General features: G+C 41.3%; 1 protein-coding gene across 4 annotated transcripts in view; it reads left to right on the forward strand.

Annotated features, from left to right (window-relative positions):
* The window catches only part of UBE3C (ubiquitin protein ligase E3C), a 130,445-nt gene that overhangs the window by 10,856 nt on the left and 103,096 nt on the right, over positions 1-16,493 (forward strand). For all 4 annotated transcript variants that reach the window (NM_014671.3, XM_005249564.5, XM_047421073.1 and 1 more), the window contains exon 2: positions 14,029-14,082. In NM_014671.3, the coding sequence (NP_055486.2) occupies positions 14,029-14,082 (54 nt within the window). The remainder of the gene's footprint in view (positions 1-14,028; positions 14,083-16,493) is intronic.

Genomic DNA, 16,493 nt, shown 5'->3' on the forward strand with positions numbered 1-16,493 from the left:
TTTAATTCTTCTATTATAGAATGTAGGCACCTAGGAATTTGGAAGTGGGGCATCTTATTCTTTGACTGTGACCCCTGTTTTTTACTGCCTTTAAAGCAGCTGCTTTCTGCATGTCCTTGTTCTCCTGTCTCAGGCCTCCAAATGCCGCCCTTTACCATTTGTCAGCATGAAGGAGAAGCCATGCTTTCCATAGCCCATCACCTTCGATGGTGGTCAAATTACAGGCTGTAATACCTGCTGTTGCTGAGGGCATACAGACACTGGGCACAACCTACCTAGGGTTGGTTATAACAGATTTATCAAGAGTCTAACAAGGCCAGGCATGGTGGCTCACACCTGTAATCCTAGCACTTTTGGAGGTGGAGGCTGGCAGATCACTTGAGGTCAGGAGTTCCAGACCAGCCTGGCCAACGTGGTGAAACCCCATCTCTACTAAAAATACAAAAAATTAGCTGAGTGTGGTGGCACCCGCCTGTAATCCCAGCTACTTGGGAGGCAGAGGCGGGAGAATCGCTTGAACCCAGGAGGCAGAGGTTGCAGTGAGCTGAGATCATACCACTGTCCTCCAGCCTGGGTGACAGGGCAAGACTCTGTCTCAAAAAAAAAAAAGAGTCTAACAAGATATGTCCCCTCTAATCCAGCAGAACAAATTTCTACATTTAGAAACGTAAAAATTTATTCTAGTGAACTAATATGCATAAGAGAAGATGCATGGGAAAGGTGATTTATGGCATTACTTATAATACTGAAAAATACTGAAACAGCCTACATGTCTAAATACAGGACATTTGTTAAATAACCGTTAATATAACAATGCAGTGAAATACTGTGCAGCCATTTAAAATGGTCATGATGCGTATTAATGTCTGTCATTAATTTATTAACATACTTGTATTTATGAACATGATTTATTGTTAATGGAAATAAGTAGATTACAAAACAGGATTGCAGTCTGCATTTAAATTATGTTTATCTGAACAGTAAAGATAGCTAGTTTCCCAGTTTCTTAATTTCCATTGAATAAAAGAAAGATACTAGTTGCTTATTGCTGTGTAATAGAGCTTAAAGCAATACGTTTTTGTTACCTTGGTCAGTTCTGTGGGGCAGGCATCTGGATCTACTTCTGCGCTGGCCTGTTCACAAGCCTGGAAGTTAGTGCTGGCCGTTGGCAGGAGAGTCAGTTCTCGGCCGCTTGCGGGGCTTCTTAGGGATACCGTGTCCTCATGGCAGCTGGCCTCCCGCTAAGCTGCTGAGCAGACAGAGCAGGGAGGAAGGGCAAAGCCTGTGGTGACTTTGGTCATGGTGTATTTGTCCAGCCCACTCTCGGGGTGAGGGGAGTCGGGCTCCACCCCCTAAAGGGCAGCAGTAGCAAAGCGTCTGTGGACATAATCCTGAAGCCACCGTAGAAGGGAGCTTCAGGTTTAGCTTAGTCGTAAACGCTGGCGCTGCAAAACAAATACGCTGTGTTTTCTGCCTCAGCCTATTAGGAGTTAAAAATTGTGGTTTTCCTTCTTACCTCTTACCTTCTGTATCAGTAGTTATTGGCTACATAAATAACAACACAGTGAGTTAAAAAGCAAGCATTGTCAACATACATTTTGGTGAATGTGAGTTCACTCGGAGAAGATTGTATAGCTCTTTGGAAATGTAACAAAGAAATTGGCAAACTAGGAGCAGCTTAAAAAACAAGTAAATAGAGACCTGACTTAAAATGCTATTTTTCTAGATGTGCCCTCCTGATCATGTGCTGGCTTTTCTTGTGAACTGTTACCTTCTCCCGTATGCTGCTTGGAAATGCTTAGGTTCCTGCATTATCCTGCCGGAAATACTATCTATTAAGCCGTTTAAGTGTCTTCCTCAAAAAAGCCCAGTAGAACCATAAGGAGTAATTTTTTGTAACAATGCAAATTCACTGATTTAGATCATTTAGCTTTTTAATCCATTTGCCCTTGGAGAGAAGAGGGGGCTATGCAATTGGACCAAGAGGAGTCAATGATTTTGAAGTCAGTCAGCCCTTGGTTTGTCACCATGACAACCGTGGAGCAGGAGGTAGCCACATCATGACAGGGAGGAGAGGTGAGTGAAGTGAGAAGCAGGGGAGCATCACAGTAAAGTGGCCGTCATCTGAGAACTCTTCTGCACAGCCTCGTACCCAGAAGTTTGTTCCCCTTCTGTTCTAGTACCATGTGTGTATCCTATTTCCAGAACCCCAAGCAAGCATCAGTTTTTGTGTGCTGGACTGGGTAGGATTCTTAGGACTATTTACATATTAACATTACTGTCACCAGTTAGAGGGACAGCATGGGCAAAGCTGTCCAACCATGGAGACGTGGTGTTCAGCTACAGGTTGTGGCCAGAATGGGGGTGGGCAAAGGGTGTAGGGAAAGTGGAAGAGAAGGCTGGGAGGAAGGTAGTCAGGGACAGAGCTGGGAGGAAGGTAGTCAGGGAGAGAGCTGGGGGAAAGGTAATTAGGGACAGAGCTGGGGAGCATTGTAGGCCACACTAAGGCATATTCAGGGAGGACTGGAAAGCCGCTAAAGAGTTTTAAGCACATTAATGAGACTTAGGTTTTAGAGATGCGTGGGGGGCAGTTTGGGTGTTTGAATCTAGGGAGGCAAAGCCTGAAGCCAGGGAAATCAAGGGAGAAGCACCCACACTTGTGCCTGAAGAGCAATGAGGGCCTAAAACCTGCAGTGGGCATTTTCTTTTAAGGATGTTTGTGTTTCTCTCCTTGTTTGTCACATGCAGATCCTTGCGCTCCTCACTATTTGTTCTCCTGCAGGGCACTTTTCGTTTATGAGCTCATTGATCTCGACTTCTGATATGTGAGGCAGAGGTGTTAGTGTCCTGTGGAGGAAGAAATCAAGGCCTGGAGTCCAAATAATTTAGCAAAACCCCCAACACTGCCCTGTGGTTTGTTTATCCGGATGCTGTACGGCCTCTCCCTCGTGTCTGGGCAGGTTGTCTTGCCGGCACATCTTGCTTCTGTCTCCTGCTTTACTTGTGCATTCCTGTAACTGCTTGGGAAGTTGAGGACCACATCCTGCAGGCACTGAGAAGGTGGTTCCAACAGTCCTACATCTTTTGGAACTAATTTTTCTTACAGTGCAGCTTTAACGTTGTTTAATTTTTTGCCAGGTGTGGTGATGCACGCCTGTAATCCTAGCACTTTGGGAGGCTGAGGGGGGTGGATTGCCTGAGGTCAGGAGTTTGAGACCAGCCTAGCCAACATGGCGAAACCCTGTCTCTACTAAAAATACTGAAATTAGCCAGGCATGGTGGTGGGCGCCTGTAATCTCAGCTACTTGGGAGGCTGAGGCCGGAGAATGGCTTGAACCCCAGGGGAGCAGAGGTTGCAGTGAGCAGAGATCGCACCACTTCACTTCAGCCTGGATGAAAGAGTGGGACTCCCTCTCAAAAACAAAACAAAACAAAATTGTTCAGTTTTGTACATATTATTTTAGAGCTGTGTGAGCAGACGCTAGATTGTTGGCAGTTAGTATGGTTCACATCACATCTTGCCACTGTGAAACCCCTTTACTGCAAAAGACGAAATTTTAGAAAGTGTAACCTTGAAAAAAAAATAGTTAACTCTGGAACCAACTGTCTGTGACTTAGCTGTTCATCTTTTCTGGGCTTTTCTTTGTTGTATTGCGTAATGGGAGAGTCACAATTCTCTTTCTAATTTGTTTTTAACAGAGTCCAGGTCTCACGGCGTTGCCCAGGCTGGTCTTGAACCGAGCTCAATTGATCCTCCCACCTTGGCTTCCCCAGGTAATCCCAAGTGTTGGGATTACAGGTGTGAGCCACACGCCCAGCCAGAAAGTCATAATTCTTGATAAGGATAAAACCAAACTAGATTATCACGAATCTTCCTTGCTCTAAGAATGGTTGCGTTTCTACTCTGCAGTCAGTGGCCTTTTTAAAAAGTTAACTTTTCCTCCCGGCACTCTGGGAGGCTAAGGCAGGCAGATGCCTTGAGCCCAGGAGTTCCAGATCAGCCTGGGCAACATGGCGAGATCCCGTCTATACTAAAAATACAAAACAAACAAACAAACAAAAAAACGGGCATGGTGGTATATGTACCTGTGGTTTCAGTTACTCGGGAGGCTGAGGTGGGAGGACGGCTTGGTGGGGCGGGGGCGAGGTTGCAGTGAGTGAGCCAAGACCGCGCCACTGCACTCCAGCTTGGGTGACAGAGCGAGGCCCTGTCTGGGGGGGGAAAAGTTAACTTTTTCTGTTTAAAAAAAATGATAGGCCGGGCACGGTGGCTCACACCTGTAATCCCAGCACCTTGGGAGGGAGGCCGAGGTGGGTGGATCACGAGGTCAGGAGTTCAGACCAGTCTGGCCAAGATGGTGAAATCCCGTCTCTACTAAAAATGCAAAAATTAGCCAGGTGTGGTGGCAGGCGGCTGTAATCCCAGCAACTTGGGAGACTGAGGCGGAGAATTGCTTGAACCTGGGAGGTGGAGGTTGCAGTGAGCCAAGATCACACCACTGCACTCCAGCCTGGTGACAGTTCGAGATTCTGTCTAAAAAAAAAAGATAAAAGGTCAGACCTTCTAAAGAGTATCCATGAAATCATCTTCTCACTGAATCCCCTAACTTCCCACCATTATTTTCTCAGTATCCTCTCAGAACAAGTCTAAACATAAACATGTCCTCCCCTCTCATTTTCAGTTAAAATGAGAGATCATATTGCTTTTTCACCTCAACAAAATATCTTAGTGATTCCATATCGGCATCTTTATATTTGTTATTTTTCATGGTATATAATACTCCATAGCATAGTTTGATACTTAATATAACCACTTTCCTATCAATGGATACATATAAATTGTCTTTAGAGTTTTGCTATTAAAATAGTGCCTTATTTACCACACAATTCTGAGGTAAGAAAAGAAAGTCTCTTGGCGTATATTGTGATATTTAAATGATTGCGTTTTGCATTGGATACTTCATTTTTTCTCTAGTCAAGTGAAGCAGAAGGAGTGGAGAAGGAACAAAGAAATCTATAACTGGTTGTAGTCAGACTTTATTTTTAAAAATGAGCTCTTGTGATTGTAAAATAATATTTATAATTGGAAATGTAGGCTATACTGAAATGTATTTAATAATTACCTATTGGAACCCTACCCATCCCTTAGAAATGAAATGCTGTTAATGCATAGTCAGTTTTTTTCCCCATCTTTGTGATGGTAAATGGTCAAATATTTTCCTAGCATTTTAAAAACTTTCTTTTGAACTTGCATCATCTTGTGCATTATGTTTTATAAATATGATTTTTAGTGGCTGATGATGATGCACCTGTAAGTATGTTTTGCATTTGTGAAATTGGCGGTTCTCATATTTTCATAGAGATTCTTATTTCATGTAGGTCTGCAAAAAAGAATCCCACCCCCTCCACACGCACACACACACATTGTAGCTTATGCATTACTCACAAATGTTAACTTTTAACATTTTCCTTTACTCAAAGGCAATGTTCTTTGAAGTGTATAAAATGGCTAGCATTATGTTAGTGCCTGAGAGCCAGAAAATACTGAACTGAAACAGATGTGAAGCTGATAATTCTGTGTAAATGGAGTAAATTGTTAATGGAAGATAAGCCAAATAGGTGAAACAAAAACCTCACAGTTTTTTGGGGTTTTTTTTAAATCAAGATATTTACAAACATGCTAACAATCGTTCTGTAAATGGTTAGCAGTTAATTTGGGCATGTGGTCTTTTGGAAGTTACTTAAATTTACTTTGACATTCACTCTAGTTTTTTAACATAAAAATTTTATTCTGAGGGTTTAATGAAATCTGATTTAAACTGTGTACGCTTTACTATTTCAAATAAAGAATAAACTTTGTTACCACTAAATTTATTTAGTGAAGAAAGCATTTTCCCCCCATTTGAAATCATCTTGGTAAGACAAAACGAAAAGAAAATCACCTTGGTAAATGGCATTTGTAAGATTTGGTCATATTTAATGTTCAGAGAAGATAACGATAGTACCTAAAGCTCCACAGGCACCCAGAGCAGTTGGCTGTGCTCACTGTGGATTTCACATTGGTGGGTAGTTACAGCAGGGAGCGTGCACGCTGTCAGGACGATGGCCTCGGTCGTTTCAGAGACCCTTTGGGTGTTTGATGGACCTTGTCTGTAACTGCTACTAGGCATCCTTACGGGTTCTACATCTGCATAATTTGAAAGATAAGGATGTTTTCAACTATGAGTACAATAAATTGAAACCAAAAACTTGTTAATCAATAGGAAGTTCAGTCCTTTTTCAAAATCAAACTGCTTTCTCCTGGTACCTTATTTGCCCCTTTCCTCCCAGCCACTCAGTGGTGAACTTGTTCCTCATTATATTGAGCTGTTTTTAGAACTTGTTCTCATATTGCTTTGTTACTACTTTGTTTAAAAGTGAGAAAATATTATAAGTACATGGGTGATCATTCAGATGGGAATGTAAACAGTCAAATAAAATACTAGAGCCTTTCACCTCCACTCCTCACACCCCCAGTTCTTTTTTTTTTTTTTTTTTTTTTTTGAGACAGAGTCCTGCTCTGTCACCTGGGCTGGAGTGCAGTGGCATGATCTCGGCTCACTGCAGCCTCCACCTCCCAGGTTCAAGTGATTCTTGTGCCTCAGCCTTTCAAGTAGCTGGGACTACAGGCGCATGTCACCACCCCCGGCTAATTTTTGTATTTTTCATAGAGACAGGGTTTCACTACGTTGGCTGGGCTGGTCTTGAACTCCTAACCTCAAGTGATCCACTACCCTGGCCTCCAAAACTGCTAGCGTTACAGGCATGAGCACCGCATCCGGCCCCAATTCTTTAATCCTTACATTCACACTCTATTTTGGGATTTTTACACATCCTGTCAGAGCTGTTCTCTACATACATAATCATATAGGTGTGTAAATTCCCTTCTTTTTAAAAAAAAAAAAAAAAACACAAGCTAGAGCATATTAAACAGATTGCTGTACTTCTCCTGTCCCCCTTAATAATACTCTCGGAGACAGTTCCTGATCAGTAGATAGATCTACCACATTCCTTTAAAGAGCTATATGATATTCCATGTAGTGAATGCCCTATAATTTTCAGCAGCCAAAAAAATAAAGCTGACTCCAGTGAGTTATTAATGTGGTCCTTATTATATGTGAAGACAGCCTTATTTATAGTTAATGTCTTCAGTTATAAGAGTCTTCATCATTAGACTTTTTAAATTACCCTTTTAAAAACTCATGTCCGGCCCAGGCGGTAGGAGGAAAAAATAAAGGTGTAGGCATGATCCTAATTCACAATTATGAATATCAGCATGTGGCTCACACTAGTAAGTGTCAGCTTCTGAAAGTGAAATTTCAGCATACTATTAAAAATAAACCTGCAACAATGAATTAAAAAATTCAATATACAGAAATCCATGCTAGTGATGTGGACGGTAATAGTCCATGCTGTGCATATAATCCTAAGCTGCAGCTACTGAATTCTTAAGCGAGAAATTTGACTACATTAAGAATTAAAACTTTGTACACATAAAAATATCATAACCAAGGTTAAAGAGTAACAAAGGGAATATTTGTAGCATCATGAAAATGATTATTTGTAGAACAAGATGAAAAGATAATCAAATGAAAAAATTAAATGATTCAAACTGTGGAAACATAAAAAGTTAGACGCTGCACTGTGCAGGTGAAGACAAGGGACAGCAGTCACTTTTCATACATTGACATGATCTCCTTGGAGGGCAATTTGGAAATATTCATTAAAATTCAAATGCACATAGCCTTTGACCTACAAAGAAATTTAACCTGCAGACATTACTGACACATTTGCAAGGATATCCACTGCAGTTTTATTTGAATTAGCCAAAAACTGAAAACAACCTAAATGACCATTAAAATATAACATGGTGGCTGGGCGTGGTAGCTCATGCCTGTAATTCTAGCACTTTGGGAGGCCAAGGTGGGTGGATCACCTGAGGTCAACAGTTTGAGACCAGCCTGGCCAACGTGGTGAAACCTGGTCTCTACTTTGAAAAACAGCACAAAAATTAGCCAGGCATGGTGGTGGAAGCCTGTAATCCCAGCTACTTGGAGGCCGAGGCAGGAGAATTGCTTGAACCTGGGAGGCGGAGGTTGCAGTGAGCCAAGATCGTGCCACTGCACTCCAGCCTGGGCAACAGATATATATAGATATATATATATATAGAGAGAGAGAGAGAGAGATACATATAAACATGGTGAGACCCAATCTGTACACTCTTTTTTCCTTTTTTTTTTTTTTTTTTTTTTCCTGTAAAGGGAGCCTTGTTTCATGGCCCAGGCTGGTCTCAAACTCTTGGCTTCCAGTGATCTCCTGCCTCAGCCTCCCAAAGTGATGGAATTACAAGTGTGAGCCACTGTGCCTGGCCCTAGAGTCAGCTTTAACTTGGAGGCTGCGAAGAAAATTCAAAGGAAACACAAATATAATGAAGCCTTTTGAAAACCAGTTTTTCATGGACTGGCCGAGAGAGGGAACCTATTCTATTACATGCCAAATTCCAGTGTGAAACCATGCACTCATACTTTATTTTGAAACCGTAAGCCATAGCACCCAAAACCTGTTAAACTTTTGGGAACAAACAGGTTGAAAGTAGATGCACAGAGTGGCAGGACCGGTGTAGAGAACACTGCATCTGTGCGTTGTATTTAATCACAAAGGCTAGAGCTGCTAATTGGCCAAGTGGGAAGCTGCTGCCAAAGCTGTGATTAAAAGTGATGATTAGTCACAAAGCAAATAAAATAATGGACAAGATTCCTTTGTCTAATGATTTAGCTCATTGTCCATTTTTAGATAGGGACAAATACATTGAGCAGCTGTTATTTTCCTGGGGAAGACAAACTTGGTTCTGTTCACTAGAGACTGATGAGCCCACTGATACTCTGAACTCAGCTAATCCTTTGCTTTGTCAGGCATGAGCTGAATAGACAAGCCCATGGGGACGTTTTTTTTCTAGCTCGTCAATTAGAAGAAATGCTTTAAAATCTATTGTTGATTTTATGACAAATGACAACATAGACTCCAAGTGTGTTGAATGGTAAAAGCAGAGATGGTGTCTTGGGTTAATATGAGAATTTGGTCCATTGTGCTCCAGCACCAGAAACTACCAGAACTAAAGTCTGCTCCCTTTTTGTATTGAAAACACAGTCCTACTAGTCTCATGTATGCGGGGATATTAAGTCCGTTATCAATAGAGTGTGAAATAATCACTCCTGTGAAAGGCGGAGACTTAATTCTCTAGCCTTGTGAAGTCATGGGCGGTAACTACCAGCACCCACTTCTCCTTCATCCTGAAAGCTTGTAGGTAGGAAAGTCTCTCTCTCCTTGACTGTTATCTCAAGAAGAGTGTCACATCTTTGTGGAGTCAAACTTTCACCATGGCATACACACCATGATTGTGGAGGAAAGAATTGTGGAAAACTTGAAAAAAGTATTTTGAATATGGCATTTACAAAGTTAGGAGTATTTGACACAGCAGGCATGTGGGGAAAAAAAGAAAAGATTAAAAAAAAAAAACAGAATTAGGATTAAAGGTCTCCATGAATGTTTTCCTAAACCAGTTGGTGGCGGTGAATGGATAAAGACAGTCTCCCCCTACCCTGTTTTATTAATATGTGAATATTACCAAGTAAAAGGACACATTCAAAAGATCAGACTGTGGATGGTTTCTTGAAGCAAAAGTTTGTTAAAGCAAAATGGCATTTTGGTTAGGAATTCCTTTTCAGAATCCAGTTGTATCAGAGAACGTGATTAAATACCATTTGCAGCTGGGTGCGATGGCTCATGCCTGTAATACCAGCACTTTGGGAGGCTGAGACGGGTGGATCACTTGAGGTCAGGAGTTTGAGACCAGCCTGACCAACATGGTGAAACCTTGTCTCTACTAAAAATACAGAAACAGCCGAGCGTGGTGGCACATGGTAATCCCGGCGGCGGAGGTTGCAGTGAGCCAAGATAGCCCCACTGCACTCCAGCCTGGGCCAGAGCGAGACTCTGTCTCCAAAAAAATAAATACCATTTGCTTGCCTGATCTAATTACAGACATGTAAATCAGAATTCTTTGGTTAATATCAAAATTTAAAAATAAAACTGTCTAATAGAGCCTAATCTTCCTCTTAAACTAAGCAGCGTAGCGTCTCGTATTCTTTTGTTGTGATTATAAACAGTTTCTTTTACCTTGAGGAATCAAGTTTCAGATAGGACTTTTTATAAATAAACTTGTTAGATTTTTATGTAATTCCGTAGTTACTTTTTTTTTTCTTTTTTTTTTCTGAGATGGAGTCTCGTTCTATCACCCAGGCTGGAGTGCAGTGGCATGATTTCGGCTCACTGCAACTTCTGCCTCCCAGGTTCAAGTGATTCTCCTGCCTCAGGCCTCCAAGTAGCTGAGACTACAGGTGCGCGCCACCACGCCCAGCTGATTTTTGTATTTTTAGTAGAGACGGGGTTCCACCATGTAGGTCAGGCTGGTCTCGAACTCCTGACCTCAGGCGATCTGCCGGCCTTGGCCTCCCAAAGTACTGGGATTACAGGTGTGAGCCCCTGCAGCAGCCACTTTCAAATTTAACTTTAAAAATACAGTTTTCATTGTATTTAATTTGGGGGGATGCCTTCTGTTTGTGACCAGTGATGCTGTTTTTCTGTTTAGTGATGAAAGATTTCCCCTTAAGATAAATATATTTAGGTTAAAAAGAGTCTTTTTGGCAAGACTAACACAATAGTTGATTGTATCATTTGTATGGTACCAAGTAGTAGTTCATTATGCCGTTATGTTTTATTACTGAGCCAGTTGATGTCTTAGTTGGTGTCTGCAAAATTTCTCCCCTTTAAATTTTCTGTCTTTCCCTTGTTAATTGATCTATATCTTGAGAGATACTTTGAGACTAGGCAAATCCTGTTTCTCCTCAAACTTTTGCCCACTAATTTTAGCATACATTAGTAGATCTTGTCTGCAGTGTTTTTCTGTTTTCTGCTTTTCTCTTTCCTTCTACATTTTTAAACTGGATTCTGTGAGGAAAAGAGTTTTCTTTTCCTTGTTTATTGATTTGGTTATTTATGTAAGTATTGAGTCCATGATGCGTGTTTGTGCGTATAATCCTATGGATTAAAATCTAATGCTATCCTTATTTCGTAACCTTACTGTAATCATGAGAGTATTGGAAAAACCCAAATTGAGGGACAGCATCCAGGACATGAAAGATGAAGATAAGAACTCTATAAGATTGGAGGAAGATTAAGAAGAAATAGTACCTAAATATAATGTGGGGTCCTGGATAGGATTCTAGAACAGATAAACAGCATCAGTGGGAAAATTGGTGGATTTCTAATTAAGTTTGTAGATTAGTTAATGTTATTGTATCAGTGTTAATTTCCTGTGGATAATTGTATCTGCTTAATGTAGAAGTGAGTAAGACATATGGGATAAGGGAAATTGTACCATTTTTGTAGCTTTTCTTTGTCTAAAATTAGTTTCTAAAAGTTTAAAAAATTAAAGAATATTAAGTAAACAATCATGAATCATTTTAATTAAGTTTAAAACAATATTTTTTCTGCTGTTGGACATGTGATGAAGGTTTTTTATGTGAAATTTTCTTTGATAGAAAGTATCTGGAGGATTAATTTCTTTGATTTTACTTTTTTTTTTTTTTTGAGACAGGGTCTCGCTTTGTGACTCCAGCAAGAGTGCAGTGGCACAATCTCGGCTCACTGCAGCCTCAGCCTCCCCAGTTCAAGTGATCTTTCTGCCTCAACCCCCAAGTAGCTGGGACTGCAGGCATGCACCACCATGCCTTGCTAATTTGTTTTGTATTTTTTGTGGAGATAGGGTTTCACCATGTAGCCCAGGCTGGTCTCATACTCCTGAGCTCAAGTGATCTGCCCTCCATGGCCTTCCAAAGTGCTCGGATTATAGCCATGAGCCATTGCGCCAAGTCTGGCTTTACATTTTGGCAATTAGAAACTTGATTCTAGGCCAAGCATGGTGTCTCATGTCTGTAATCCCAGCAGTTCGGGAGGCCAAGGCGGGCAGATCACTTGAGGCCAGGAGTTCGAGACCAGCCTGGCCAATGTGGCGAAAACCCGTCTCTACTAAAAATACAAGTTAGCCAGGTGTGATGGTATGCACCCGTAGTCCCAGTTACTCGGTAGGCTGTGGCACGAGAATTGCTTGAAACCGGGAGGCAGAGGTTGCAGTGAGCCAAGATCGCCACTACACTCCAGCCCTGGGTGACAGAGCACGACTCTGTCTCAATTTAGAAAAAAAGGATAGAAACTTTGATTCTGAATATTGTTAGTTCATGTATCAGTGTATAATTTTAAGTTGGCTTAACTACTCTCTGACACTGTTCTGATAAAGTATATCTCTTAAGATATTTAATTTTTTTTTCTTTTTTGAGACGGAGTCTTGCTGTGTTGCCCAGGCTGGAGTGCAGTGGCGTGATCTTGGCTCTCTGCAAGCTCCACTGCCTGGGTTCAAGCGATTCTTCTCCCTCAGCCTCTCGAGTAGCTGGGACTACTGGTATGTGCCACCATGCCCGGCTAATTTTTGTATTTTTAGTAGAGACGGGGTTTCACTGTGTTGGCCAGGCTGGTCTCGAACTCCTGACCTCATGATCTGCCCGCCTCGGCCTCCCAAAGTGCTGGGATTACAGGCGTGAGCCACCGTGCCCAGCCTAAATTTATTTTTTTGTAATGATTCATATATAGTGTCTCCAATCTTGAACTTTTTTTTTTTTTTTGAGACAGGATCTTGCTTTGTCACTCAGGCTGGAGAGTGGTAGCTCAATCCTGGCTCACTGCAGCCTTGACCTCCTGGGCCTAAGTGATCCTCCCACCTCAGCCCCCTGAGTAGCTGGGACTACGGGCACATACTGCTGCACCCAACTATTTTTAAAAAGTTTTTGTAGAGGCAGGGTCTCAAACTCCTGTGCTCAAGTGATTCTCCTGCCTTGGCTTCCCAAAGTGCAGGGATTACAGGCATGAGCCACCTTGCCCAGCCTGGACCTTTAATTTTATTTTGGATGAAATTTACAAAAATAAAATGTCCATACACTAAAGACTGGAACAGTCTTTGGGGGAGAAGAGGGTTCTGTTTAAGTATTTTTCATTTATTTGAAGTTTTCCTTTTATTCTTTCACTTCCTTCTACAAACCAAGTCATTTTGTTCAAAACTTAGTTTTATTTATGAAAAAAAATTTTCATCAAAGAAATTGATTTCTTCATTGAAATTTTTATTGAGATAATTGTAGATTCATATGCAGCTGTTAGAAATGATACCCAGAGATGGCCGGGCGCGGTGGTTCACGCCTGTAATCCCAGCACTTTGGGAGGCCGAGGCGGGTGGATCAGGAGGTCAGGAGATCGAGACCATCCTGGCTAACACAGTGAAACCCCGTCTCTACTAAAAAAATACAAAAAATTAGCCGGGCGTGGTGGCGGGCGCCTGTAGTCCCAGCTACTTGGGAGGCTGAGGCAGGAGAATGGCGTGAACCCGGGAGGCGGAGCTTGCAGTGAGCCGAGATCACACCACTGCACTCCAGCCTGGGCGACAGAGAGAGAGACTCCATCTCAAAAAAAAAAAAAAAAAGGAAAGAAATGATACCCAGAGACCCCTGTCCACATCACCCAGTTTCCTCTGGGGTAATATTTTACAAAGCTAGTAAGATGTCACAGCTAGAACTCTGACATTGGTACGGAGCACCAGTCTTACTCAACATTTCCCCAGTTTTACCTGTACTCATTTGTATATGTGAAGAAATCAGATTTTATGCTTAAAAAACTACTGAAGTACTAACTTGTATTATATCTAGTGACCTCTGGGAAACCATTTAACTTCTTGTGCCTCAGATTCTCTCATCTGATTAAGTCAAGACAGCTTGTTTGGATGATCTTTAGGATCTTTTTTTGGGTGAAAACATTCTGTAATTTTTGTATGGGAGTTTTAAAATTGAAATTATAACCTTACCTCCTTTTTTCTCTGTTTGGGTGTAGGAGGAAAAGGCTTCTCTTTTACATCGTACTCAGGAAGAAAGAAGAAAGAGAGAGGTAAAAACAGTTTTGTAATACTCTGTAGATAAGCATTTTTTCTACAGCATTTAAACATGCCTTGGTTTTACTGTATATATGTATGTGTGTATGTATTTTTTATATATGACAGAATGTGTGTGTATGTGTGTTTAGCTTTAGAAACATTTATTCTGGAGCCGGTGTAGAAAGAGATGGACTAAAAGGGCAGTTTCCAGACTGGAGAAGGAACATGGGCTTTTGGTTGACTTACATAATGATATGGTTTCCAGAAGATCTAGAAAGCCGTATTATAAATATAATGTTCATATTTCTTTTTCTTCTCTTTTTTTTAAGATACTGAGTCTTGCTCTGTGACCCAGGCTGGAGTGCAGTGGCAAGATCATAGCTCACTGTAGCCTTGACCTCCTGGGCTCGGTGATCTTCCTGCTCTAGCCTCCTGTAGCTGGGACTACAGGTGCATGCCACCATGCCCAGCTAATTTTTAAGATTTTTACATAGATAGGGTCTTGCTTTGCTGCCGAGGCTGATTTCAAACTATGGCCTCATGCAATCGCCTCCCTCATTTTCCCAAAGTGTTGGGATTACAGGCGTGAACTGCCTCGTCTGGCTGATGATGTTGATGTTTCATGAAGCATAAGGAGAAAGCTCACTGTTAAGACATGTGTCTTAACTGTTTGTGAAGAAGGTAAAAGAAAGACACTAATGACATTTTTATTGTTTATCCTACGTTATATCTTGTGATAGTTTCTTTAAATAGCTTTATTTTGTTGATTAATCAGCAATTGTACTATCTTATGACCTGCTTTTTTAGGTAGAGTTTTTTGTTTTGTTATTTTAACAATTCATTTAGGCCCCTGACAAATATTTATTGAGAACTTACTATGTATGTACTAGGTATTGCTCTGCTTGCTGGGTATACAGATAGTGAATAAGACAGACAAGGTTCCTGCCGTGAACCAGGATGCTGAGGTGGTGACAAAACCTGTGAGGGCCACAGAGTAATGTGATTACAGCTGGAAGGGCCTATATTAGAGATGGTGTTTAGGGGAAGGGCTCTCTGAGGTGGTTACAGTGAAAAGAGTTTAGGCAGGATTTTCCAACCTTGGTGCTGACATTTTTGAACAGATAATTCTTTGTTGGGGGGAACTGCTCTGTACATTGGAGGATGTTTAGCAACACCCATGGCCTCTACCCACTAAATGCCAGTAGCACTCCGTTACCTCAGTTGTGACAACCAAAAATGTCACCAGAAACTACCAAATGTCCCAGGGAGGGCACTGCTCAACCAAGAAAGATATTTGTTGGTTGGTGTTTTTAATCTTGTTTTATGGAAAATTCTCGGCCATTATCTCTTCCATTAGTGCTTTTGCTTCATTCTTCTCCTCCTCTCCTACTTGGACGCAAACTGTAAATGTTTTTGACCTTTGCGTCGTTTCCCATATTTCCCTCATGTGCTTTTCTCTGTGTTTATCCTTTTGAATATCTCTGCTTCAGTTTGGATATTTTCACCTGACCTAATTTCTGATTTACAGCTGATCTCTTTAGCATTGACTTTTTTTTTTTTTTTTTTGAGGTGGAGTCTCACTTTGTCAACCGGGCTGGACTGCAGTGGCACGATCTCAGCTCACTGCAACCTCCGCCTTCCAGGTTCAAGCGATTCTCCTGCCTCAGCCTCCCGAGTAGCTGGGACTACAGGTGCACGCCACCGCACCCAGCTAATTTTTTGTATTTTTAGTAGAGATGGGGTTTTGCCATGTTGGGCAGGCTAGTCTTGAACTCCTAACCTCAAGTGATCTGCCTGTCTCAGCTTCCCAAAGTGCTGGGATTACAGGCGTGAGCCACCCTGCTGCCTAATTGTTAAATACATCCATTGACTTCGTAATTTCAGTTTTTGTTATTTCAGTTCTAGAATTTTCTTTCATTCTTTTATATAGTCTTTAGTTCTCTTTTAATTTCTTGAACATAATTATAGATTTTTTAAGACAATGTTTAAACTCCAGTAATTGGATCTTCCGTGGGGTTTGTTTCTATTGTTTGTCTTCTTGATTTTTAATCTGATGGGGTTTCCTTTATAGGTGACTAGCTGCTTTTCTTTTGATGCTTTTAGAATTCAGTCTTTATCTTTGACTTTAGATAGTCTGATTATTTGCTTGGAGATCGTTGAGTCTGCTGTATGTAGGTGTCTAAATCTCTTGTGAGACAGGAAGTTTTCATCTATTATTTCATTAAATAGGTTTCCTAATCCTTTCTTTGACTCTTTGACCTTGGTGTTACCAATACTTTGAATATTTTATTGCTTTATGTTATCCCAAATGTCATGAATGCTTTGCTCATTCTTTTTTCTGTATTTTTGTCTGGCTGGATTATTTCAAAAGACCTGTCTTCAAGTTCTGAGATGCTTTCTTTTGCCTGATTAGTCTGTCTTGAAG

Source organism: Homo sapiens, chromosome 7, assembly GCF_000001405.40.
Source record: "Homo sapiens chromosome 7, GRCh38.p14 Primary Assembly".
In the NCBI taxonomy this organism is placed as follows: domain Eukaryota; kingdom Metazoa; phylum Chordata; class Mammalia; order Primates; family Hominidae; genus Homo; species Homo sapiens.